The 25542-nt window shown below is 43.7% G+C and overlaps 2 protein-coding genes across 5 annotated transcripts in view, besides 1 other annotated feature; both read left to right on the plus strand.

The window, feature by feature from the left end:
• The window catches only part of METTL9 (methyltransferase 9, His-X-His N1(pi)-histidine), a 60264-nt gene extending 55906 nt beyond the window's left edge, over positions 1–4358 (plus strand). For 2 of the 4 annotated variants that reach the window (NM_001288659.2, NM_016025.5), the window contains exon 5: positions 2114–4358. In NM_001288659.2, coding sequence (NP_001275588.1) covers positions 2114–2319 — 206 coding nt within the window. In that variant the 3' untranslated portion in view covers positions 2320–4358. The remainder of the gene's footprint in view (positions 1–2113) is intronic. The other 2 variants (NM_001288660.2, NM_001077180.3) reach the window with 1 other exon arrangement.
• Positions 5124–5263: an enhancer, noted in NCBI's record as "active region_10559". NCBI's record gives its function as "activates an Ori minimal core promoter by ATAC-STARR-seq in GM12878 lymphoblastoid cells {active_cell/tissue: GM12878}" and the evidence as "EXISTENCE:reporter gene assay evidence [ECO:0000049][PMID:35858748]".
• The window catches only part of OTOA (otoancorin), a 96762-nt gene continuing 82074 nt past the window's right edge, over positions 10855–25542 (plus strand). The window contains exons 1-2 of the mRNA NM_144672.4: positions 10855–11119; positions 25398–25492. Of these exons, the coding sequence (NP_653273.3) occupies positions 25402–25492 (91 nt within the window). The 5' untranslated portion in view covers positions 10855–11119; positions 25398–25401. The remainder of the gene's footprint in view (positions 11120–25397; positions 25493–25542) is intronic.

Raw genomic sequence — 25542 nt, forward strand, 5'->3', positions numbered from 1 at the left:
TCCAAAGACACCTGCCTTCCCCCCTTTTTTGACAGGGTCTCTATCACCCAGGCTGGAATGCAGTGGCAAGATTGCAGGTCATTGCAGCCTCAGCTTCCTGAGTAGCTGGGACTACAGGCATGCACCACCACCCCTGGCTAATTTTTTTTTTTTTTTGTAGATTCTGTGTTGTCTAGGCTAGTCCTGCCCTCAAGCGATCCCCCTGCCTTGGCCTCCCAAAGTGTTAGGATTACAGGTGTGAGCCACCATGCCTGGCCCAAAGACCCCCTTTTAATGTGTTGAGAAACAAATATGTGGGCCCTCTGTCCTCTGTGTCCTCTCCCCCAGCACTTAGTGGTGATTCAGTAAGGGTCTTCTTTGTAAAGCAGCAGAAACAGACTCAGGCTGACTTAAAAGGAAATTTATGCAAACATTTGAAGGTAGATCCTAGAGTCACTGGGAGGGCTAGTGAATCTTGTGTGGGGTCCACAGCCAGGAAGAATGCCTCAAATCACACCATAAACAGGTCTGAAGAGGATGCTACTGCCACTGCCAAACACTAGGTGCCATCAGCCCTGTTGTCAGCATCGCTCAACCACTGCCCCAGCCCCTTGGTCTCACTGCCATTGCTCCACCCCCAGAGAAGGAGAAGCTCACATCCCCACTACTCTGGGTCACTGGCTCTCCATTCCAGGGCATGGGCAAGTGTGCCTGGCTTAGGCTGCGTGCCAGTGCCTCAGCTGCACGGCAGGCCAGGAAAGCGGCTCCCAGGCCTTGTGTCTCTCCCAGACTCTGGGCAGGCAATTCCCCAGACATGGGAAGAGCGTCATCTGCACCACTGAAAATTATGAAAAATCTCCCCACCATGATATGATGTCTGTGCCCTTGGCATCTGCTCATGATATATTTTCTCATTAACAGAAAGTTATTCTCAGTCTGTTTTGTTTTTTTTTTTTTTTTTTTTTTTGAGACAGAGTCTCGCTCTGTCGCCCAGGCTGGAGTGCAGTGGCACGATCTTGGCTCGCTGCAAGCTCCGCCTCCCGGGTTCACACCATTCTCCTGCCTCAGCCTCCCAAGTAGCTGGGACTACAGGTGCATGTTGCCATGCCCAGCTAATTTTTTTGTATTTTTTTTAGTAGAGACGGGGTTTCACTGTGTTAGTCAGGATGGTCTTGATCTCCTGACCTCGTGATCCGCCCACCTCGGCCTCCCAAAGTGCTGGGATTACAGGCATGTGCCACCACGCCCGGCCTCAATCTGGTTTTAACACTTCAACAGATGTATGTAGTTTTTGTATCACCATAGCACCTAAAAAGTACCCCCAAAGTTAAATATACTGTCATCTCTGTGTGTGTGTCTGTAGTCAGTGCCAGGTTTGTATGTGAATTTGAGGACCTTCCCTAGTCCCCTTGTCCCCCAGGCATCTCCTGCTCATAGGTTTGGAAATGACTGATAGAGGCTTCATCTCTAGTCCAAGAAATGCTGGACGGTGTATCCATCCTACTGTTCCATCTCTCTCTGGTCCTGGAGCTTAATGTTTATGAAATTGTTCTGAAAAGGCAAAGAATGAGTCAACTTCCCTAGAAAAACTCCCCAATGATCTGCTTTTCTAAATTAAAATCCTTCATGAGCCTGTTTTTATTTTCAGCCTAATAAATCTCTCTAGGTAGTAAGTTGCATAAGTTTACTATGCCAGTGGTATTTTCTTGCATTTGTCCAAAACTGTCCTTCAGATATTACATGTTGCTCTCTGTTTCAGTATTCCAGCATTTAATGACCAGTTTTCCAAACCCATTAACCATTACACCCTGCAGTCAGTCTATTGGCAGATACTACCCAAAACTGTCAGAGAAGATAACAGTGTGGGGCCTTGGATCCAGACAAACCTGGGCTTACATTTCCATACTGACACTCATTAACCTTGCAAGCGTGGGCAAGTTCTTCACCCCTTCTGAGTCTGTTCTTTATCTGCCCACCTGTCTCAAAGAGTACCTGGGAAGTACAAAAGAGGTAACTCATGAAGCCCTCAGGCTTGGAACGTACCAAGTCCTTGGTAGATATGGCTCCTCCCTGCTTCCCTCTTTAAATCACTTGTTTGTTCAAGAATTTAACTGAATGTTCTTATTTGTATTAGTAGGTGGCAAGTGGGAGAAACCATCAGAAATTTTGGAAATCAAAGGACAGAACTGGGAAGAACAAGTGAATAGTCTGCCTGAAGTTTTCAGAAAAGCTGGTTTTGTTATCGAAGCTTTCACCAGACTACCATACCTGTGTGAAGGCGACATGTATAATGACTACTACGTTCTGGATGACGCTGTCTTTGTTCTCAAACCAGTATAAACACGTGGAGGTCGAAGTCTTCAGAGTCCGCACCCTCCGGGATGTGCCCTTGGAAGAGGGTCTGTGTTCACAATTACGTGAAGGGAGGACCCTTGGGGACCGCCATTCTAAATATCATGTAGGAATTTAAAAAGCCAAAATACTAATTATTTCTTTGTAGTGTGTAAAGGAATGTTTTTAAAAGACAAAAACCCAACTCTTTGTGGATTTTTATCAACTCTTTACTCAGAGCCACTCTCCAATGCAGGTCACACTCCAATTATGATGGAAGATATTTTTTATACTTAATTGCAGTAGGGACTCATTCCCAGACAAAGCAATAGTCACGACTTCATGGAACCAATCAATGGATTGTTTTTTGAAGACTGGCAATAAAGCTGTCCATTCAATTCCAAATACTGGTTTTAAGGTATAGCCACTGATATTCTTTCATGTTTAGAAATTCTTTCTGTTATTATTCAAGAAAATGTTTTTAATCATGCTAATAAACTTTTTTGGAGATGACTTTGGCATCATGTTTGAATTCATATAAAGCTCCCCTAGCATTTTTTATTGGTTTGGCTTCAGGAGTACCCAAATAGTAGCATTATGAGAATGACGCAGACAATTTGAATAGGGGGGAAGGAAGGCTTCAGACTTGGGGGAAGGGGAGATTATTGCAAATTGCAGTGAACACTGAGTCAGTAAAAAAAAAAAACAGAAACAAAAACCCAGCCTCATTCAGATACAGAACTTCAGGGACCCCTCCCCCCACCCCCCCAGTTAATGCTGCTGTGAAAAATGCAAAATAACCTGGTTCTGACTTTGTGATCACTCATGTCCCATACACTGAACTTTGTTTTTTTCTGGACAATCTCAGGTTCTCAGAATTGAAACATTCAGTTTTGTCTACTGACAAAATGCAACTAAAAATGTTTTAATTCAACTTCTTACTCTACACTTATATACCTCTCTCCCAGAGCTTGGCTCTTCCCTGAAATCCTTAAAGGAGTTTATTATTTGCCAAGAATATGGTTTGATGAAGACCGTGTCAGACTCATGCATTCTGGAATCCGTGAGTGCCTCCAACCATAAACCCAGAAATGCTGCCATAGAGGAACCCATTAGCAAGATCAATAACCATCGTGGATATTCCAAAGAGCAGAGCATTTAACCCAGAATCTGAAATCTCAGTAATAACAGAAATGTCAATATGAGATTGTGGTTATTAACAATATGTTATCCTCACTACTTTATTTCTTTTTTCATCCAGGTGTTTCATTAAGTATTCTCATTTATATGCTCATAGAAGTCATCAGATCAACACATTCACTCCAACACCTGGGTATAAAGGCGAATTAAAACCTGAAGAATTACTTTATTATTCATTAAGAACTGCATTCCCACATCCTCACACCAATATCTTCCACTGTTACTGTGCAGTCATAATAAGAGTTGGGTTATGTGATTTATGCAAAATTGTTATTGGTGTGTTCTAATGATTTTTTTCCAGGAATTCAAGTAAGTGAAGTACAAATACTTAGCACCATAGATTGTAAAAATAGAAAGAGGAAATGAGAAAACTTAATGTCGTTCTTGTACAGTTGAGTTTTGCTTCTTTATAAACTGTCTGTTAAAATCAGGGGTTGCTGTTAGACTGTCAAGCAGAAGTGATGGATGTTCAAGGAGGCAGGTTGCCCCAAAGTGTTTTCTAACTTTCAAGTAGAGAACTTTATGCTCTAATAAGAAAAATACAACTCATTCTTAACCACCCCCCCAAAACAGAGAAAACACATACATTTATGCATTTTAAAGATAAAAAGTAGTTTCTCAAAAAAATCTGAAGTTCTCTGAAAACCAGCTTATTAAAAGTGCTGTTTTGTGGTGAAAATTGAAACCAAATCCACTCACATTTCCTATCGGGTCTTGAAATTCTTGGTGGTGTGTCACCATTCCACTAGATGGCAGTGTTGCTTACTGAGTGTCAATGGCTTTTTTCCCCGTAAATGGAATCATGTTTTTCTCCCCCAAAGTACAATAAAGCTGCCTTGTCTGCACCATTCCTCGTGTAAGTGCTTCATATCAAGTTAAGACTGTACTAGAGAAATTAAGAAGAGCTTTATTTGTGGTAAAAGCAAGCTAACCAATTGACCTTAAAGGTTGAAATGCAAGCCACACCTCTGATTCCTAGCTCCCTGCACCTGCATTTTAAGCTCCTAAAGTGCTCAGACCACTGATCTCAGAGAAGGGGAGGAAAGGAGGTACAGTGCCCTTAGTCATTTATCCCTTGTACAGAGTAGTTAAAAGCAGTACTGTATTTTCTGCCATCCAGTGTGACCTGTCATCAGTTTTTACATGGTTGGCTTTTAACAGAAAAAAGTTGAGTTGGAAAATAAAGTGTAGATGTTTCAAGTCTTCCTGAGCAAAGCTTTGTTTTCACTTGGTTCTGAGTATAGTATTAATAGGCTATACTGCGTATGTTATTTACAGTATTAATGAAGCAAGATGTTTTCATTAATTGCTTCCCACTACTTGGTTACTGATGGAGGTGTTACATGATCCTTTTTCTCCAGCAATGTCAGTATAGTATCATGGGCTTCCAGTGACTAAAGTGACCTACCATGTTAGTGCAGATGCTTAAGCACCCCCAGTTACCTTATATCCAGTGCTTCCGCCGGCTAGAAGATAGTGCATGGAATCAGGGCAGCCTGGACTGAGTTGTACTGTCTAGGAGTGCACTGAGCACAAAACTGGGCTCATAAGTAACTTGAGACAAATCAGGACTATGTTGCCTAGGCTGGTCTTAAACTCCTGGCCTCAAGTGATCCTTCTACCTTGGCCTCCCAAAGTGTTGGGACTGCAGGTGTTAGCCACTGTCCCTGGCCTAGCACTCCCTTTATCTTGCAAAACTGAAACTATGTTCATAAACACAACTCTCCATTGTCTCCACCCCACCCTCTAGCAACTATCATTCTACTTTCTGTCCCTTTGACTACTCTAGGTAGTCATGATCCGCCCCATGATCCAGTCACCTCCCATATAATTGGAATTACACAGTATTTGCCTTTTTGTGACCGGCTTATTCTTCTTTTTTTTTTTTTCCTGAGACAGAGTCTCACTCTGTTGCCCAGGCTGGAGTGCAGTGATGCAATCTCAGCTCACTTCAACCTTTGCCTCCTGGGTTCAATCAATCCTGCCTTAGCCTCCTGAGTAGCTAGGATTACAGGCGTGCACCACCACTCCTGGCTAATTTTGTATTTTTAGTAGAGATGGGGTTTCGCCATGTTGGCCAGATTGGTCTCGAACTCCTGGCCTTGTGATCCGGCCTCCTAAAGTGCCAGGATTACAGGCGTGAGCCACCGCGCCCGGCCCATGACTGGCTTATTTCACTTAGCACAGTGCCCTCAGGGTTCACCGATGTAGAGGGTGTCAGAGTTTCCTTCCTCTCTTTTTTTTTTTTTTTTTTTTTTTTGAGACGGAGTCTCTTTCTGTCCCCCAGGCTGGAGTTCAGTGGTGTGATCTCGGCTCACTGCAGCCTCTGGCTGCTGGGTTCAAGCCATTCTCCTGCCTCAGCCTCCTGAGTAGCTGAGATTACAGGCGCCTGCCACCATGCTTGGCTAATTTTTGTATTTTTAGTAGAGACGGTTACACCATGTTGGCCAGGCTGGTCTCAAAACTCCTGACCTCAGGTGATCTACCTGCCTCGGCTTCCCAAAGTGCTGGGATTATAGGCGTGAGCCACCGCACCGGCCAGAATTTCCTTCCTTTTTAAGGCTGAATAATCTATTGTATGGATAGACCATAGTTTGCTTATCCATTAGTCTGTTGGTGAACTCTTGGATTGCTACTACCTTTTAGCTGTCTGAATAACCCTGCTGTGAACATGAGTATACAAGTATCTTGTGACCCTGCTTTTAATTCCTTTGGGTATATAACCAGAAGTGAAATTACTGGATCATGTGGTAATTCTATTTTTAATTATTTGAGGAACCACAATGCTGTTTTCTGCACCATTTAACATTTTTGCCAACAGTTCACAACCGTTCCAATGTCTCCACATCTTCACCAACATTATCTTGTTTTGTTTTGGGATGGAGTCTTGCTCTGTTGCCCAGGCTGGAGCGCAGGGCATGATCTCGGCTCACTGCAAACTCCATCTCTTGGGTTCAAGTGATTCTCCTGCCTCAGCCTCCCGAGTAGCTGGGATTACAGGCACCTACCATTACACTTGGCTAATTTTTATATTTTTGGTGGAGATGGGGTTTTGGGGTTTCGCCATGTTGGCCAGGCTGGTCTCGAACTCCTGACCTCAGGTGATCTGCCTGCCTTGGCCTCCCAAAGTGCTGGGATTACAGGTGTGAGCCACCATGTCCAGCCTGTTTTGTTTTTTTAGTAGTAGCCATCCTAATCGGTGTAAGGTGGTAGCTTGTGGTTTTGATTTGCATTTCCCTAATGACTAGTGCATCATTTGTTTTTATAATACAACTTGTATGGCATTTGGCTTCATTTACTAGTAAATTGTGCTTTGTAGCTTGCTATCTATATCAGTATCACTGAATTGGACTCAGTATTCAGTGATAACAAAATACTTCTTTTTCACTGTGAAATTGTATACTTTTGGAGAACAGGGAGAATATTATTACATAACCGAACTTAAGAATTCCCTCTGGATTTGGGTCAGTATGCTGTATTCACATGAATTAAATAATATGCTTTTGTTAGAAAGTCACTTTAAAATTACTTTCAATACATGTAAAATGAAAAGTAAGTATTTTTTCTCTCAAGTAAATGCCCATGTAAATTGGGATGTCTTATATACCTGTACTTCTTAAGTTCTGGAAAATAAGAACAGATAGAGTGCCCAAATGCTATTTTCTTATATCCTGTTTAGGATTCAACACAGAACGCTGGTTTTAAACGACTGTGAACTCTCAACACTTTTCCAAATGCTAGAGTTCAAGTGAATACATTGGCAATTCTTTTTTTTTTTTTTTTTTTTTTTGAGTTGGAGCCTTCCTCTGTCGCCCAGGCTGGAGTGCAGTGGTGCAATCTTGGCTCACTGCAACCTCCACCTCCCAGGTTCAAGTGATTCTCCTGCCTCAACCTCTCAAGTAGCTGGGATTATAGGCATGTGCCACTATGCCCTGCTAATTTTTCTATTTTTAGTAGAGATGGGGTTTTGCCATGTTGGTCAGGCTGGTCTCAGACTCTTGACCTCAGGTCATCCACCCGCCTCAGCCTCCCAAAGTGCTGGGATTATAGGTGTGAGCCACCTCGCCCAGCCTCCATCTTGTTTTTATTATTTATAGGGTGGCCATGACTGATCGTAAAGCCCTACTGGTTTTTCCATTATAAGTAACACGTTTGTATTAGTCCTTTCTCACACTGCTATAAAAACACACTTAAGACTGGGTAATTTATAAAGAAAAGAGGTTTAATTGGCTCATGGTTCTGCAGGCTGTATAGGCTTCTGCTTCTAGGGAGGCCTCAGGAAACTTACAATCATGGTGGAAAGTGAAGGGGAAGCCTGCATGTCTTACATGGTGGAAGGAGAACTAAGAGAGAACCAAGGAGAAGGTACCACACACTTTTAAACAACTGAGCACTCACTCACTATCACGAAAGCAGTATTGAGGGGGAAGTCAGCCCCATGATCCAATCACCTCCCACCAGACCCCTCCCCCAACACTGGGATTACAATTCCACACAAGATTTGGGTGGGGACACAAAGCCAAACCATATCAACGTTCATCGCAGAAAAAGTATAAAATGAAAATTAACTTTACTTACCCCATAAACTTGAGAGAACCACTACTGACAGTTTGGTTTATGCCTTCCAGACTTTTTTTTTTCTGTGCATGTATATATACACACATTTATAAATGTTTAAACATTAAAATATGTAAAAATGAAAAGGTCCTTTTATTGTTCTGAGATGAGTCATGTGAGACTCCTAGACACCTATATTCTAAATCAAAAATTGACAAAGGATGGAAGCCATTTCCTGTCATTTAAAGCTTGAGGTTAAGCTTTTTTTTTTTTTTTTTTTTTTTTGAGAAAGAGTCTCACTGTGTCACCCAGGCTGGAGTGGTGGCATGATCTTGGCTCACTGCAAGCTCTGCCTCCCGGGTTCATACCATTCTCCTGCCTCAGCCTTCTGAGTAGCTGGGACTACAGGCGCCCGTCACCACGCCTGGCTAATTTTTTGTATTTTTAGTAGAGACGGGGTTTCACTGTATTAGCCAGATGGTCTCGATCTCCTAACCTTGTGATCTGCCCGTCTCAGCCTCCCAAAGTGCTGGGATTGCAAGCATGAGCCACTGTGCCCGGCTGAGGTTAAGCTTTTTATTTAAAGGATTAAACAAAGACCCTGGGGATAAAAGGATGTTTTTGAGGATGCTGGACATTAGCATTATATAAATTACTATCAGATGGGCAGCAGAATGCTGCAATTGGTCATTTCTGAAGATAATGTTTTAATTGTGCCACTGACAAACTAATGTTAGCGTTGGGCATTTCAATGATTACTTTGAAATATTACGGGTATTAGATGTGTTTCGTTAAATGTGAAGGATTGCAAGGAAACTTCTTGAGTCCACAACTATTTTCATTAGGAAAGATGCAAAACAGTTATGCATAATCCTATCATGCAAAGCTAATATTTTAATGCATTGCCTACCAGATTTTTTTTAATTTTTTTTTTTGAGGCAGAGTCTCATTCTCTTGCCCAGGCTGGAGTGCAGTGGCATGATCTCAGCTCACTGCAGCCTCTGCCTCTCGGGTTCAAGGGATTCTCCTACCTTAGCCTCCTGAGTAGCTGGGATTACAGGACGTGCGCCACCATGCAAGCTCATTTTTGTATTTTTAGTAGAGATGGGGTTTTGCCCTGTTGGCCAGGCTGGTCTCAAACTCTTGACCTCAAGTGATCCACCCACCTCAGCCTCCCAAAGTGTTGGAATTAGAGGTCTGAGCCACCCCACCCAGCCTTGCCTTCTAGTTTTTTGTTTTGTTTTGCTTTGTTTTTGAGATGGAGTCTTGCTCTGTTGTCCAGGTGGGAGGGCAGTGGTGCCATCTCAGATCACTGCAACTGCCACCTCCCCAGCTCATGCAATTCTCCTGCCTCAGCCTCCCAAGTAACAGGGATTACAGGTGCCCACGACCATGCCTGGCTAATTTTTGTAATTTTAGTAGAGACGAGGTTTCACCATGTTGGCCAGGCTGGTCTCAAACTCTTGACCTCAAGTGATCAGCCTGCCTTGGCCTCCCAAAGTGCTGGGATTACAGGTGTGAGGCTCCACACCCAGCCCCTAGCTTCTAGGTTCAATAAAAGTTCAAATACATCTATTTCTTACCATTGGCTTTTTTGTTTTGGATATAAAATTATTTCCTTGTGCTAATTATGTGGTCTTTGTTAAGAACAATTTTAATGACTGTGTAATCCACAGCGTTTATGTATCCATTTATTTAAGCATTTCATTATTGGTGGACATTTAGGATGAATTTTTTTCTACCACTCTGTGTATGTATACATCTATTATAGGTCATACTATTATTTTTATTATGGAAAATTCCAAGTACATAAAAAAGAAAGGTAATAATGAATCCTCCCCAACCAGCCTCAGCAATTATCAACACATGGCCCACCTTGTTTCATCCCTACTCCCACTACTCCTTGGTTCCACTATTGCCAAGCAAATCCCAGATGTCTCATTTCAGTTTTGTAAATATATAACTGTAAAAGATAACCACTCTGAAAAGATAGCCACATTACAATTATTCATTAAGAAACCCGGCAGGGTGCGATGGCTCACGCCTGTAATCCCAGCACTTTGGGAGGCCGAGGCCGGCGGATCACCTGAGGTCAGGAGTTTGAGACCAGCCTAGCCAACATGGAGAAACCCGGCCTCTGCTAAAAATACAAAAAAATAAGCGGGGCGTAGTGATGGGCGCTTGTAATCCTCTTTACTTGGGAGGCTGAAGCGGGAGAATCGCTTGAACCTGGGGGCGGAGGTTCCAGTGAGCCGAGATCGCGCCATTGCACTCCAGCCTGGGCGACAGAGCGAGACTGTCTCAAAAAAAAAGAAAAAAGAAATGAAAGAAACCCAGCCATTAAATATCCAGCGACCACATTGCTCCAATTTTCTTATAATTTTTTTTTTTTTTTTTTTTTTTTTGAGACGGAGTCTTGCTCTGTCGCCCAGGCTGGAGTGCAATGGCACGATCTCGGCTCACTGCAACCTCCCCCTCCCGGGTTCAAGCGATTCTCCTGCCTCAGCCTCCCAAGTAGTTGGGATTACAGGCGCCCGCCACCGCGCCTGGCTAATCTTTGTATTTTTAGTAGAGCCGGGGTTTCGCCCTGTTGGCGAGGCTAGTCTCGAACTCCTGGCCTCAAGTGATCCGCCCGCCTTGGCTTCCCAAAAGTGCTGGGATTACAGGCGTGAGCCACCGTGCCCGTCCTATAACTTCTTTTAACGGTTTGAATTCAGATCTAAATAAAGGTCCCATGTAGCGATTGGTGGATAGCTCTCTAGTGCTCCCCATCCTCGCTTCCTAGCTGCCGCCCCGAAGAGTGGCTGGGGAGCAGGCATTTGTGCGTCTTGCAAGCTTCGACAGATAGGAAGTCCCAGGCGGGGACTGTGACCCCCGCCGCTGCCCTGGCTGAGTTCCCACCTGGGCCGCTGCAGGGAGGAGGTCGCAGAGCTGCCGGCTGGCGCCGCCCCGCCGCTCTCCTGCCTGCCCGCTCCCCGCATGAGCCCCGCGGCCCCGCCCTGCGCCACCCGCCCGCCCGTGGGACTCAGTGCGGCCAAGCCGGGCTCCGCAGGTGAGGCGCGCGCGGGGGCCTGGGCGGAGGACTCACGGGGCAAAGCGCTGGGGGAGCGGGTGGGCGCCCACCGCTGGGCCTCCCTAGGGAAGGGGTGCAGGTGATGGATGGCGTGGGGGACAGACCGAGAGAAAGAGGGTGGGCAAAGTGTGGGTGCAGCGGCTTTAAGGGCTCCTGGGATTGGAGGGCACTTGGAGGGGGGGGACGATGAAACTTCGAGAAAAGGGATCCAAAACTACTTAGTAATATAATAACAGCGATGACAACTGTTGCAATAACTATCACAATGATTATTTGTTATAATAATATAGCAGCAGTAAAAACAATAGCATTAGTAATAATAGCTACGATTCATTGCATTCTTATATGTGCCAGTGCTGGGCTTAGTTCTTTATGTATTTTATGTATAAAGTAATGCCTACCTCATAACAGTTGTGTGGAAGAAATGGAAAAATGCAGGTAAAGGCCGGGGCTCACACCTGTAATCCCAGCACTTTGGGAGGCTGAGGCAGGAGAATCACTTGAGGCCAGGAGTTCGAGACCAGCCTGGCCAAAGTGGTGAAATTCCATCTCTACTAAAAATACAAATATTAGCCAGGTGTGGTGGCGGGCGCCTGTAATCTCAGCTACTCCGGAGGCTGAGGCAGGAGAATCGCATCAATCCGGCAGGTGGAGGTTGCAGTGAGCCGAGATCAGGCCACTGCCCTCCATTCTGGGCGACACAGGGAGACTCTGTCTCATGAATGAATAAATAAATAAATAAATAAATAAATAAATAAATAAACAAATAAAGTTGATAGTTTTTTGCCAGGGAGGTATGAGTGCCATGCCTACTATGCAGAGGAGGAAATGCAAGCCTATAGAGGTTAAGGAATTTGCCCAATAGCACACAGCTGGTTAAGGTTTGGTTCAGGTTAAAGCTGGGGTCTTATCCCTGGGGTGGCACCTGCCACCTGGAGTTTTAGGTTCAGGGCTGCTGAGCTGACACTGGAGAGCAAAGCCAGTGAGCGTTGGAATCATTTAGCTCTGGGTTTGCCACCTGGCTGTGCATGCATAGCTGTGTGACCTTGGGCAGGTCACTTGACCTCTCAGAACCCATTTGCTCATCTGTGAAGTAGAGATAATGGTAATGCTTGCCTCAAAGATTCTACAAGAATTAAGCGAGACAATGTATGTTAGAGAGGCGTGTACTTAGTTCTGTCTCATTAAATGACTGCTGGGATTAAGGTTACTAGGGAGCCCCACAGCCCTGCATCATAACCCCCTCCCTGCCATTCGCTTGCTGTGTGATCGTTCATGTGCACTGAACTCATCTGTGAAACTGAGTACGGTAACCCTTCAAGGCTGGTGGAAAGAGTAAATGGCAGGGAGGAGGGTTTGGTGTGATGCCCGGCTCATAGAGGATGCTCAGTGAGACCAGTTTCTTCCTTTCTTTCCTTCTTTTCCTCATTGAATCCAAAGCCATTTGTTCTCCGGAGACTTAGGAGAGAAGAAGGGGAATAGCTGTGCCTAAAATCTCACTATTAGTGGCAGGGCTGGGACAGGAACTCAAGTCTGGGCATCTCTAGTCCACCAAGCTCCCATCCCCTTGACTGCTTGAATTTTTTTTTTTTCCAGCCAGGGTTTTGCTCTGTCACCCAGGCTGGAATGTAGTGACATGTGATCGCGGCTCACTGTGGCCTCGACCTCCCAGGCTCAGGCAATTCTCCTGCCTCAACCTCCTGAGTAGCTAGGGCTACAAGCATGCACCCAGCTAATTTTTAAATTATTTGTAGAAATGGAGTCTCCCTATGTTGCCCAGGCTGGTTTTGAACTTCTGGACTCAAGTGATCCTCCCACCTTGGCCTCCCAAAGTGCTGGGGTTACAGGAGTGAGCCACAAAGCCTGGGCCTACTGGACTTCTACAACCACTGTGAGCTGGGCCATTCCAACACCAAGCATTTGTAATCAGGCTGGTATTCTATAAGCCAGACACATTTACCTATTTTGGATTAATAGTCATGAAATGGCATTTTTTTTTTTTTTTTTTGGTGGAAAATCTCCCAGCTAGTGTCAGTATGCCTAGAGTTATGTGTTCATGACCCAGAGCTTAAATGGAGCAGCCTTGCAGACAGTGAAACTCCATGTAATTGTGAATTAATGGTTTGTGTCTGGGCTGGGGTGTCCCAGCAGGAGGGGAACCTCCTAGCATCTTTGCAAATTTCACAGAAGATGAAGTGACTCTGATCCATGGGTTGACCAACTCCTCCGGGTTTGCCTGTGACTTTCTGGTTTCAAAATGGAAAGTTTTGAGTCCTGGGAAACCTTTTGGTCCCGGGCAACTGGGAAAGTTGATCACCTTGCACATCCAAACATTCATAGTTTCTCAGGAAATTGTCTTCATTTCAGGTTTGTGGTTATTGTTGCTGTTTTCGAGTAGTTTTCACCACAGGGATCCTTGCCTGACTGATTTCCTCCAGTCTGCAGTGGGGGAATCTTTCAGTGGGGAAGGGGTATGGCCCATAGAGAAAGCTATCGACCTCCAAATCATCATCGCCCTGCCCAGTCCTTTCAGTCCTTTTGACCAATCTGCTAAAAAAGTGACCCAAAGTGCCTTTAATGAAAACCAGATCCTGATGGGCTGCAGTTTCTCGCTGGAAAAAGGACATTATGCACAGCAGAAAGCAAGGCGTCTGTTTCAGTAACCTGAAACCTCTCTGTAGGGTTAATAGAGGGGCCCGAGCAAAGAGCACAAGAAGCCACATTGTCTGGGAAACTGGAGAATTGTGAATGGGGCCAATGTCCCAGGGCAGCTGCCCAAAGGGAAGGGAGAAAAAAGGGTCAAAGGTTCCCCAAAGCCCCAAATGACCCAAACCAGGAAGACTTCTAATTGGAGTTGAGCATTCCAGTTACAGGATGGTGATGGTGGGCCAACACACCTACAAAGTGCTTTGGGATCAGGTTTGCTCAAAACCTGTTAGAATGCAGGGCTTTTGGTGTCTGGGAACTTCAAAAGTTTTACTGTTTTTGTCCTGGGCAGTAAAGTAAGCATAATTGTTTTCAAAGCTGGTTGTGGAGGTCCCCTTGGGGGAAAAATAATCCATTTGCATAACAAGTTAGACAATACGAGGGAAATCTGTATTAAAGAATGCTGGGATGGCGGCTGGGCGCGGTGGCTCACGCCTGTAATCCCAGCACTTTGGGAGGCCGAGGCGGGCAGATCACAAGATCAGGAGATCGAGACCATCCTGGCTAACACGGCGAAACCCTGTCTCTACTAAAAATACAAAAAATTAGCCGGGCGTAGTGGCGGGCGCCTGTAGTCCCAGCTACTTGGGAGGCTGAGGCATGGTAACCCCAGCGTGGGTAACAGAGAGAGACTCTGTCTTAAAAAAAAAAAAACAATTAAATAAATACATAAAATAAAAGAAGGGCTGGCAAGCTTTTTCAGTAAGGGAACATGGAATACATATTTTGAGCTTTGGAGGCCGTGTGGTCCCTGTCCCAAGTACTCAACTCTGCTATGGTAGCAGGAAGCTGCCATGGACAATAGGCCAATGAATGGGCATGGACATGTGCCAATAAAACTTTATTTATAGACACTTAAATTTAAATTTCACACAGGAAATTTTCATATGTCAATAAATATTATTCTTTTGGTTTTAAAAAACTATTTAAACAACCTAAAAAATCATTTTAAGCTCATGAGCCACGCAAAATCAGGTGGCCATTTCCATTTGGTCCGTGGGTGGTACTTTACTAACCCCTCCTTGAAACAATAAGGACTCCTTTAAAAATATAACCACAGTTTCATTATCAAACTTAAAACTATTAACAATAATTCTTTAAAATCTTCAAATATCTAATCAGGGGTTCAAATTTCCTCAATTGTCTCACAATTTTTTGGGTTTTTTTGAGACAGGATCTTGTTCTGTCACTCAGGCTGGAGTGCTGTGGCATGATCATAGCTCACTGCAGCCTTGAATTCTGGAGCTCAAGAGATCCTCCCATCTCAGCCTCCTGAGTGGCTAGGACTACAGGTGTGCATCACCACGCCAGGCTAAATTTTAAATGTTTTTATAGAGATGGAGTCATGCTGTGTTGCCCAGGCTGGTCTCAAACTCCTGGCCTCAAACAATCCTCCGCCTTGGCCTCCCAAAACACTGGGATTAGGTGTGAGCCACTGTGCCTGGCCTAATTTTTTATTTTATTTTATGGTATTTTTTGTTTGTTTGCTTTGTTTCTTTCTTTTTTTTTTTTTTTTTGGAGACAGAGTTTCACTCTTGTCATCCAGGTTGGAGTGCAATGGGATGATCTCGGGTCACTGCAACCTCTGCCTCCCGGGTTCAAGAGATTCTCCTGCCTCAGCCTCCCGAGTAGCTGGGATTATTAGCATGCGCCACCATGCCCAGCTAAGTTTTTGTATCTTTAGTAGAGATGGGTTTTCACCATGTTGGTCAGGCTGGTCTCAAACTCCTGACCTCAAGTGATCTGCCCGCCTCGGCCTCCCAAAGTGCTGGGATTACAGGTGTGAGCCACCGTGCCCAGACATGACGTGTTTGAATCAGGATCCAAATAAAGTCTAGATTCTACAAGTGATCAATCTTTTGTTTTTGAGTTAATAGGTTCTCTTTCTCTCTCTCTCTGTAATATATTGGCTAAAGAAACTAGGTTGTTTGTTTTGGGGAGTTTTCCACAGTCTTGATTTCTCTGGCTGCACCTAGTCTACTCAACGTCTTGGCAATGGGGGTGCCATGGGTCTCAGTCCTTAAAACTCACCTAATTTCTCCGTAAATTTACTTTCTTGGTGATATCATTCAGGGTTTAAATACATGCTGACTATCTGGGGCCGGGTGCAGTGGGATTACATGCCTGTAATCCCAGCACTTTGGGAGCCTGTGTCAGGTGGATCCCTTGAGGTCATGAGTTTGAGACCAGCCTGGCCAACATGGTGAAACCCCGTCTCTACTAAAAATACAAAAATTAGCCGGTGCGGTGGCACAAGCCTGTAATCCCAGCTACTCGGGAGGTTGAGACACAAGAATCACTTGAACCTGGGAGGCAGAGGTTGCAGTGAGCTGAGATCGTGCCACTGCACTCCAGCGTGCGTGACAGAGTGAGACTCTGTCCCCCACCCCAAAAAAACCCCCAAAACAGAAGAACAAACAAAAAAGCAAACACAAAAAACCACTGACTATCTCTGTTTAGATAGCTGCTTCTGACAGCACCTCTCCCCTAACCTGCAGGCTCAAACATCAAACTGCCTACTTGCTATGCTATCTGCACTCTAAAAGGCTTCTCAAGCTTAGTATGTCCAAAACTGAGCTCCAGGGATCCTTCCCTAAACTTGGAACTCCTATGGTTTTCCCATCTCCCTCTCTACATGCTCAGGCCAAATCCTTGGCGTTGTCTTTGACCTGTCTATTTCTTTTATTCCCTACATTCGATCTTTTGGTTCCGCCTTCCAAATACCTCCAAAATCCAACCACTTCTCACCACCTTCACTGCTATCAATGACCAAGTTATTGTCATCTCTTTCCTAGATTGGTCTGCCTGCTACAGCCATTGTTCCACTCCAGGGTATTCTCAACACAGCAATCAATGTGCTTGATCCAGTTAAAATAAAAGTCAGGGCCAGGCACAGTGGCTCACACCTGTCATCCCAGAGCTTTGGGAGGCTGAGGTGGGTGGATCACTTGAGCTTAGGAGTTCGAGACCAGCCTGGCCAACAGGGTGAAATCTCGTCTCTACCAAAAATATAAAAATTAGCTGGGTGTGGTGGTGGGCACCTATAATCCCAGCTACTTGAGAGGCTGAGGCAGGAGAATCACTTGAGCCGGGGAGGCAGAGGTTGCAGTGAGCTGAGATTGTGCCACTGCACTCTAGCCTGGGCGACAGAGTGAGACACCATCTCAAACAAAACAAAACAAAAACAAAAACAAGTCAGAGCATCCATCCTGGCTAATATCCCTTCAGTGGCTCCCACCTCCCTCCAAGTAAAAGTCAGAGCGCTCACAATGGCCTGAAAGACCCTACTCACTCTGGCCCTGATACCTCTCCAACCCCATGTCCTACTGTTATATCCTCTTCGTGCAATTTACTGAAGAACATGCAAATTATGCTCCTAATATCAAAGCCTTTGCACTGTCATTTTCTTTTCTTTCTGGAACTTTCTTTCTCCAGATATTCCCGTGGTTCATTCCTTCACTTCCTGAGGTCTCTGCTTAAATGTCACCTCCTCAGGTCTTCCCTGACCAAACTGTCTATAATAGTACCTGCTCCTTCTTTGGCTCCTTTTTCCTACCCTGTTGTATTTTTCTCCATGGCACTCATCACTCCCTGACATAATATAGTTATTTGATTATCTATTTTCTGCCTGGTTCATTCCAACACACCAGCAGGGAGTTAGTTTTGTAAACTGCTGTATTCTCAGAGCATAGAATAATGCCTGGCTCACAGCACTACTCAACAAATATTTGAAGAATGAAAGCATGAAATAATTACACAAACATAAATATGTATTATAGCTGTGCTTGGTGCTATAAAAGAGAAGTATTGGCCTTTTCTTCTGGCTAATTGCTTTGGCCTGGTCAGAGAATTCAGGGAAGGCTTCATTGAAGACTTGAAATTTACAATGAATTGATCTTAGCCGGGCAAAGAGGAAGGGGAAGAATCCTCTGGGCCGAGGAACAGCCTGTGAGAGGGTCTTAATCTGGGGAGGATAGCACCTTGGAGGGACAGACAGATGGCCCGGGCAGGAACCTTGGGGAATGAGGGGCAAAGAGGAGGGTGATACAGCCACTGGAAAAGCTTTGGGCTTTATCTTGAGGGTAATGGGGAGAGGCGGAGGGTGACATGAGTTTATTGAGATGGTGTTTTTCAAAACAGCATCTGTTTGAAAACAGCAATCTGGTTTCTTTGCTTATTTAATAAACTTGTATACAGAGCTGACTTTGTGTCAAGCCCTGTTTGAAGTGATTCACTATTAACAACTCATTTTACCCTCATACGACACAGTGATGCTGGTACCATCATTAATCTCATTTTACAGACGAGAAAATTGGAGTGCAGAGAGATTAAGAAACTCGTCCAAGGCCGGGCTCAGTGGCTCACACCTGTAATCTCAGCACTTTGGGAGGCCAAAGTGGGTGGATCACTTGAGGTCAGGAGTTCGAGATCAGCCTGGCCAACATGGTGGGAGCCTGTCTCTACTAAAAATACAAAACTTAGCCTGGTGTGGTGGTGGGTACCTGTAATCCTAGCTACTCAGGAGGCTGAGGCAGAAGAATCGCTTGAACCTGGGAAGCAGAGGTTGCAGTGAGCCTACATTGCACCACTGCACTCCAGCCTGGGCAAGAGAGTAAGACTCCATATCAAAAAAAAAAAAAAGAAAAAAGAAAAAAGAAAAAAAAAAAGAAAGAAATATGTCCAACATTGCACAGCTAGTAAGTGGCGGAGACGTGATTCAGAACAGGTGACTGGCTCCACAGTCCATGCTTTTCCATTTCTGTTTGATACTGACTTTTGTGAGGTATAAATTTACAGGCAATACAATGCACACTAAGTGTACAGTTCAGTGAGATCTGATAAATGTATGTATCTGTGTGACAACCACCACAATCAAGATACAAAAAATGGGGGCTGGGTGCAATGGCATCCACCTGTAATCCCAGTACTTTGGGAAGCTCGAAGGGAGGATTGCTTGAAACCAGGAGTTTGAGACCAGCTTGGGCACTATAGTGAGACCCTATATCTACAAAAAAAATTTTTCCATCACTCCAAGAAGTTCCCTTGTGCCCTGTTGCAATAAACTTTTCCCATTGTACCCTAATAATGCCCCAGACCAATCCTAATTTGTTTCCTGTCACTGAAGATTATTCTAGGTAACCTAGATAACCTAGAATCTAGATATTCTAGATAACTTAGAGTTTCACAGAAATGGAATCATATGTTATGTGGTCTTTTTTGACTGGCTTCTTTTGCTCAGCATAAGCATAATGTTTCTGAGGTTCATCTGTGTTGTTGCCTATATCAGTAGTGTATTCCTTTTCCTATGCATATAATATGGGTTTTTTCCCTTTGGGTGCTTAAAAATTTATTATTTTATTTATTTAAAAAATTGACATATACGCCGGGCACGGTGGCTCACGCCAGCAATCCCAGCACTTTGGGAGGCTGAAGTGGGCTGATCACCAGAGGTCAGGAGTTCCAGACCAGCCTGACCAACATGGCGAAACCCCATCTCTACTAAAAATACAAAAATTAGCTGGGTGTGGTGGCGCATGCCTGTTATCCCAGCTACTCAGGAGGCTGAGGCAGGAGAATCGCTTGCACCTGGGAGGCGGAGGTTGCAGTGAGCCGAGATTGCGCCACTACACTCCAGCCTGGGTGACAGAGTGAGACTCCATCTCAAAAAAAAAAAAAAAAATTGACATATAATAATTGTACATATTTATGGGGTACATAAAGATGTTTTGATGTGTATAATGTATGGTGATCAGTCAGGGTAATTAGCATGTCTACCATCTCAAACATTTCTCATTTCTTTCTGTTCAGTATCTTCCTTCTAGCTATTTGAAACTATATATTATTGTTAACTATTGTCATCCTACAGTGGTACAGACTACTATAACTAAATTAAAAAACAATTGTGTGGCCAGGGATGGTGGCCCATGCCTGTATTCCTAGCACTTTGGGAGGCCGAGATGGGAGGATTGCTTGAGGCCAGGAGTTTGAGATCAGCCTGGGAAACATAGCAAGAACCCATTTCTACAAGAACTAAAAGAATTAGCTGGGCATGGTAGTGCATGCCTGTAGTCTCAGCTTCTCAGGAGGCTGAGACCAGAGGATCACTTGAACACAGGAGTTCAAGGCTGCAGTGAGCCATGATCATGCCACTGCACTGCAGGCTGGGTGACAGAGAAAGACTCTGTCTCTCAAGAAAATAAAAAAGAATTTGAAATAACTACAGATTCATAGGAAGTTGCAAAAGAAATATCCTGTGTACTCTTCACCCAGTTTCCCCCATTGGTTACATGTTATGTAACAATAGTACCATATAAAATTCAGGAAATCATGGTACAAATTCAGGGCTTATTCAGATTTCACTAGTTTTACATGCACTCCTTTGTGTGTATATTTTATATCGTTTTCTTCAATTTTGTGACATGTGTAGACTAATGTATCAGCTACCCTAATCAGGACCCAGAACTCTCCTGGTGATCACAAGCCTCTTTCATGCATCCCTTGACAGCCTTATCTCCCTCTCCCCATGGCAAATACCAATCTAGTCTGCATTTCTATAATTTTATTTCAAGAATGCTTTATAATTGGAATCATTAGTATATAACTTTCAGTGATTGGCTTTCTTCCCTCTGCATAATTCCCTTTAGGTGCATCAAAGTTGTTGCCTGTATCAATAGTTCATTCCTTTTCATTGCTGAGTAGTATTCAATGGCGTGGACATACCACACACAGTGAGTTTAACCATTCACCTACGGAATGACATTTAGATTGGTTCAATTTTTCAGCTACTATGAATAAAGATGCTATGAACATTTGTGTACAGGTTTTGTTTGTTTGTTTGTTTGTTTTTTGAGTTGGAGTCTCACACTGTCACCCAGGCTGGAATGCAGTGGCGTGATCTTGGCTCACTGCATCACTGCAAGCTCTGTCTCCTGGGTTCATGCCATTCTCCTGCCTCAGCCTCCCAAGTAGCTGGGACTACAGGCGCCCACCACCACGCCTAGCTAATTTTTTGTATTTTTAGTAGAGATGGGGTTTCACCATGTTAGCCAGGATGGTCTTGATCTCCTGACCTCGTGATCCACCCGCCTCAGCCTCCCAAAGTGCTGGGATTATAGGCGTGAGCCACCATGCCCAGCCTGTGTACAGGTTTTTATGTGAACATAAATTTTCATTTTTCTGGGATAAATGCCCAAGAGTGTAATTGTTGGGCTGTACGTTAAGTACACATTTAATTTTATAAGAAACAACAAAACTATTTTCCAGAATAGCTGTACCACCTTATATTCTCATCAGCAATGTGTGAGTGATCCAGTTTCTCCTCATTCTTTCTAGTTAATGGCATTATGGTTACATTTATTTATTTATTTTTGAGTTGAAGTCTCACTCTGTTGCCCAGGCTGGAGTGCAGTGGTGCAATCTTGGCTCACTGCAACCTCTGCCTCCCAGTCACTGCAACCTCCGCCTCCTCGGTTCAAGCAATTCTCCTGCCTCAGCCTCCTGAGTAGCTGGGACTACAGGCATGAGCCACCATGCCCGGCTAATATTTGTATTTTTAGTAGAGATGGGGTTTCACCATGTTGGCCAGGCTGGTCTCAAACTCCTGATCTCAGGTGATTCACCCACCTCGGCCTTCCAAAGTGCTGGGATTACAGGCATGATTCACTGCGCCTGGCTTCATTATGGTTTTTTTTTTTTTATTTTAGCCATCTGATAGGCCTATAATTATACTGTGGTTTCAGTGGTCATTTTCCTAATGGCTAACAGTGCTGAGTATCTTCCCATGTGTTTATTTGCTATCTGTATATATACTTTGATGATATATCTGCACATATCTTCTGCTCGTTTTCTGATTGGATTGCTTATTTATTTTTTAGTTTTAAGAGTTTTTCAATATAGTCTAGATGCAACTCCTTTTTGCTGGATTTTTTTTAAAAATCTTTTTTTTTTTTTTTTTTTTTTTTTTAGCAATTTGATTATTATATGCCTTGGCGTGGCTTTATTCATGATTCCTCTGCTTGGGGTTGGTTGAGCTTCTTGGATCTGTGGATCTGTAGTTCTATCAAACTTTACACAAATTTGGTCATGAGGTCATGTTTTCTTTCTGTCTTTCTTTCTTTCTTTCTTTCTTTCTTTCTTTCTTTCTTTCTTTCTTTCTTTTTCTTTCTCTCTTTCTTTCCTTCTTTCTTTTTCTTTCTCTCTCTCTCTTTTTTTTTTCAGTCTCATTCTGTCACCTAGGCTGGAGTGCAGTGGTGCAATCTTGGCTCACTACAACTTCCGCCTCCCAGGTTCAAGTGATTTTTGTGCCCAGCCTCCTGAGTAGCTGGGATTACAGCCACCACACCTGGCTATTTTTTTTTTTTTTTTTTTTTTTTTTTTTTATAGAGATGGGGCTTCACCATGTTGGCCAGGCTGGTTTTGAACTCTTGGCCTCAAGTGATTTGCCCACCTCAACCTTCCAAAATGTGGGATTACAGGCGTGAGCCACTGTGCCCTGCTAATGATTTATTCAGATATTTTTGTGCCACCCCCTCCTTTCCTGGGACTCCAGTTACACATATTTCAAATAGTTTCATATTGCTCCAGAGCCCTCTTAATTTTTTCAGTCTTTTTCCCCCTGCATTTTACTTTGGATAATTTATTTTGCTATGACTTCAAGTTCACTAATTTTTCTTCTGCAGTGTCTAATATGCTGTTAACTCTATCCCGTGTATTTTCCATTTCAGATATTGTATTTTTATCTCTAGAAGTTCCTCTTGGGGTTTTTTTCGCACCTACCATGTCTCTCCCTTTAACATGCTCGCAGTTTTCCCTACTTTCTTGAACTTCCAGAGTGTATTTATAATAAACATCCTTGTCCATTAATTGGATCTTCTGTGTCATTTCTGGATCTGTTCTATTGATTGGATTTTTCTCCTGATAATCAGCCATATTTTCCTGCTTCCTAGTATGCCTGGTAATTTTTATTTATTTATTAAAAAATTTCTTTGAGACAGGTTCTCGCTCTGTCACCCTGGCTGGAGTGCAGTGGCATAATCATGGCTCATTGCAGCCTCAACTTTCCAGGCTTCAGTGACCCTCCCACCTCAGCCTCCTGAGTAGTTGGGCACCTGCCACATCCCTGGCAAAGTTTTGCATTTTTGGTAAAGACAGAGTTTCACCATGTTGCCCAGGCTGGTCACAAACTCCTGAGCTCAGACAATTCACCTTCCTTGGCCTCCCAAAGGGCTGGGATTATAGGCATGAGCCACTGTGCTTGGCCTGCCTGATAATTTTTGATTAGATCTGGACACTTCGGATTTTACATTGCTGGATTTTTTTTTTCTTTTTTTTCTTTCTCCATCTTCTGGTTTTCTGAAGTTTCTGGGTTTTATGATACTGCTTTAAATATTGTTGGGTTTTGTTCTGGAATGCAATTCAGTTACTTGGAATCAATTAGATCCTTCCAAGACTTGCTTTTGAGATTTGTTAGGGCAGATCTGGAATAAACTTTAGCCTAGGGCTAATTTGGCCTATCATGGAGGCAATTGTTCTTTGATGATTGACCCTGATGCCCAATGTGTTTGGAGGTTTTTCCATTGCAGCTTGCAGGAGCTATTCTCATTCCCCTGTGAGGTCCAAGGATTGTTCTGCCTACTGGTGGTTCATTCTCCAGCCTCAGGAGGTTTCTTACATGCAAAGGTAGATAAATATTCAGCCAAAGTCTCAAAAGACCCTTCTTCAGATCTCCAGAACTTTCTCTCTGTGCAACTTCCTCCTCTCCAAGTATTCTTCTTATGGATTCTAGCTGCCTTGATTTCCCTGAAGTTCCACTCCGTCTCTTCTGCTCAGTGAGACCTGTAGGCTCTGTTTGGATTCTCCCTCCTTGTGCTGTTGGATGGAGACTCCAGGCAGTGAGCAGGAGCAATTATAGAGCTCAGCTTGTTTGCCTTCCTTGCTCAGGGATCTCAGTCTTGTGCTACCTGCTGCCCAATGTCTGAAAAACCTTTGGATGCACATATTTCAGCCAGCTTTTTAATTGTTTAAGGCAGGACGGTTTATCCATTGCCAATTACTCCATCATAGCTAGAATAAAATTATGATGAATTTCTTTTTATTGTTATTACTGAATGGTATCCCACTGAATGGAGATCCATGTTTAACCTTTCACCTGTTATTGGATATGTGATTGTTTCCAATATCTGGCTACTATGAATGAAGCTATATAAATCTTTGTGTAGACATGTTTTCATTTCTCTTGCTTAAATACCTAGGGGTGGCATTTCTTGATCATAGGGTATTGTATATTTAACTCTGTAAGACACTGTCAAACAGTTTTTCCAAGCAGCTGTATCAGAGTTCCTGTTGTTCCATATCATCACCAACATTTGATAGTCAGTCTTTGAAATTTTTGCCCATTCTAGTGACTTTGTAGTGGTCTCGTTGTGAGTTTAATTTGCTAGTTCTTGTTAGCTAATGTGATAATCATTTGTGTGCTTATTGGCCATTTTTACATCTGTTTTTATGAAGTTTAGCTTCATATCTTTTTTTTTTTTTTTTTTTTGAGACGGAGTCTTGCTCTGTCGCCCAGGCTGGAGTGCAGTGGCGTGATCTCGGCTCACTGCAAGCTCCGCATCCAGGGTTCACGCCATTCTTCTTCCTCAGCCTCCTGAGTAGCTGGGACTACAGGCGCCCGCCACCACGCCCGTCTAATTTTTTTGTATTTTTATTAGAGACGGGGTTTCACCGTGTTAGCCAGGATGGTCTGGATCTCCTGACCTCATGATCCGCCCACCTCAGCCTCCCAAAGTGCTGGGATTACAGGCGTGAGCCACTGCGCCTGGCCAACTTCATATCTTTTTAACATTTTTTCCCCTTGGCTTGTCTATCTTCTTATTGAATTATAAGAGTAGTTTTTGTATTCTGGATATAAATTTCTTGCAGATAAAATAGAGTCTATACTTTTTTTTTTCCAGAGTCTCGCTCTGTTGCCCAGGCTGGAGTGCAGTGGCACAATCTTGGCTCACTGCAACCTCTACCTCACAGATTCAGGCACTTCTCCTGTCTTAGCCTCCCAAGTAGCTGGGACTACAGACATGCACCACCATACCCAGTTAATTTTTTATTTTTAGTAGAGACAGGGTTTCACTATGTTGGCCAGGCTGGTCTCGAACTCCTGACCTCAAGAGATCCACCCACCTTGGCCATGCAAAGTGCTGGGATTACAGGTGTGAGCCACCATGCTTGGCCCAGAGTCTACTTTTGACTATACCTTTTTGCTGGATTGAGAGGAGTTGGGGGTAGTGGTAAGATAAACAGGCCATTGTAGTCACCAAGGAGAGAGATGATAGTGTCTTAGACAAGAATGGGGGTTTAGATGGAGGAAAGTAGGTGAGTTTTAAAATTATTTTTAAAAAAGACTTCAAGGGATTCTGGGTGTACTTGGTTTTTCCTTTTGTCTTCTGAATGTCCATATATATATATATGTTTATATACATGTATATATATGTGTGTGTGTGTATATATATATATATTAAAAAAACATGAATCACTTCTATGCTTAAATTAACTACAGGAGAATGTCTCAGGAACCTACGACATACTCCCTTTTCCTATTCCTTTTTCTGAGCCATGGAGTGTCGAGTTATACAGTGCCAAATTCCAGGCAGGGTAAGTCCTGAGGGAAGAATCACCCTTTGTGGTTTCCACACAGTTTAGGG

The sequence above is a fragment of the Homo sapiens genome, chromosome 16 (assembly GCF_000001405.40).
Source record: "Homo sapiens chromosome 16, GRCh38.p14 Primary Assembly".
NCBI lineage: Eukaryota > Metazoa > Chordata > Mammalia > Primates > Hominidae > Homo > Homo sapiens.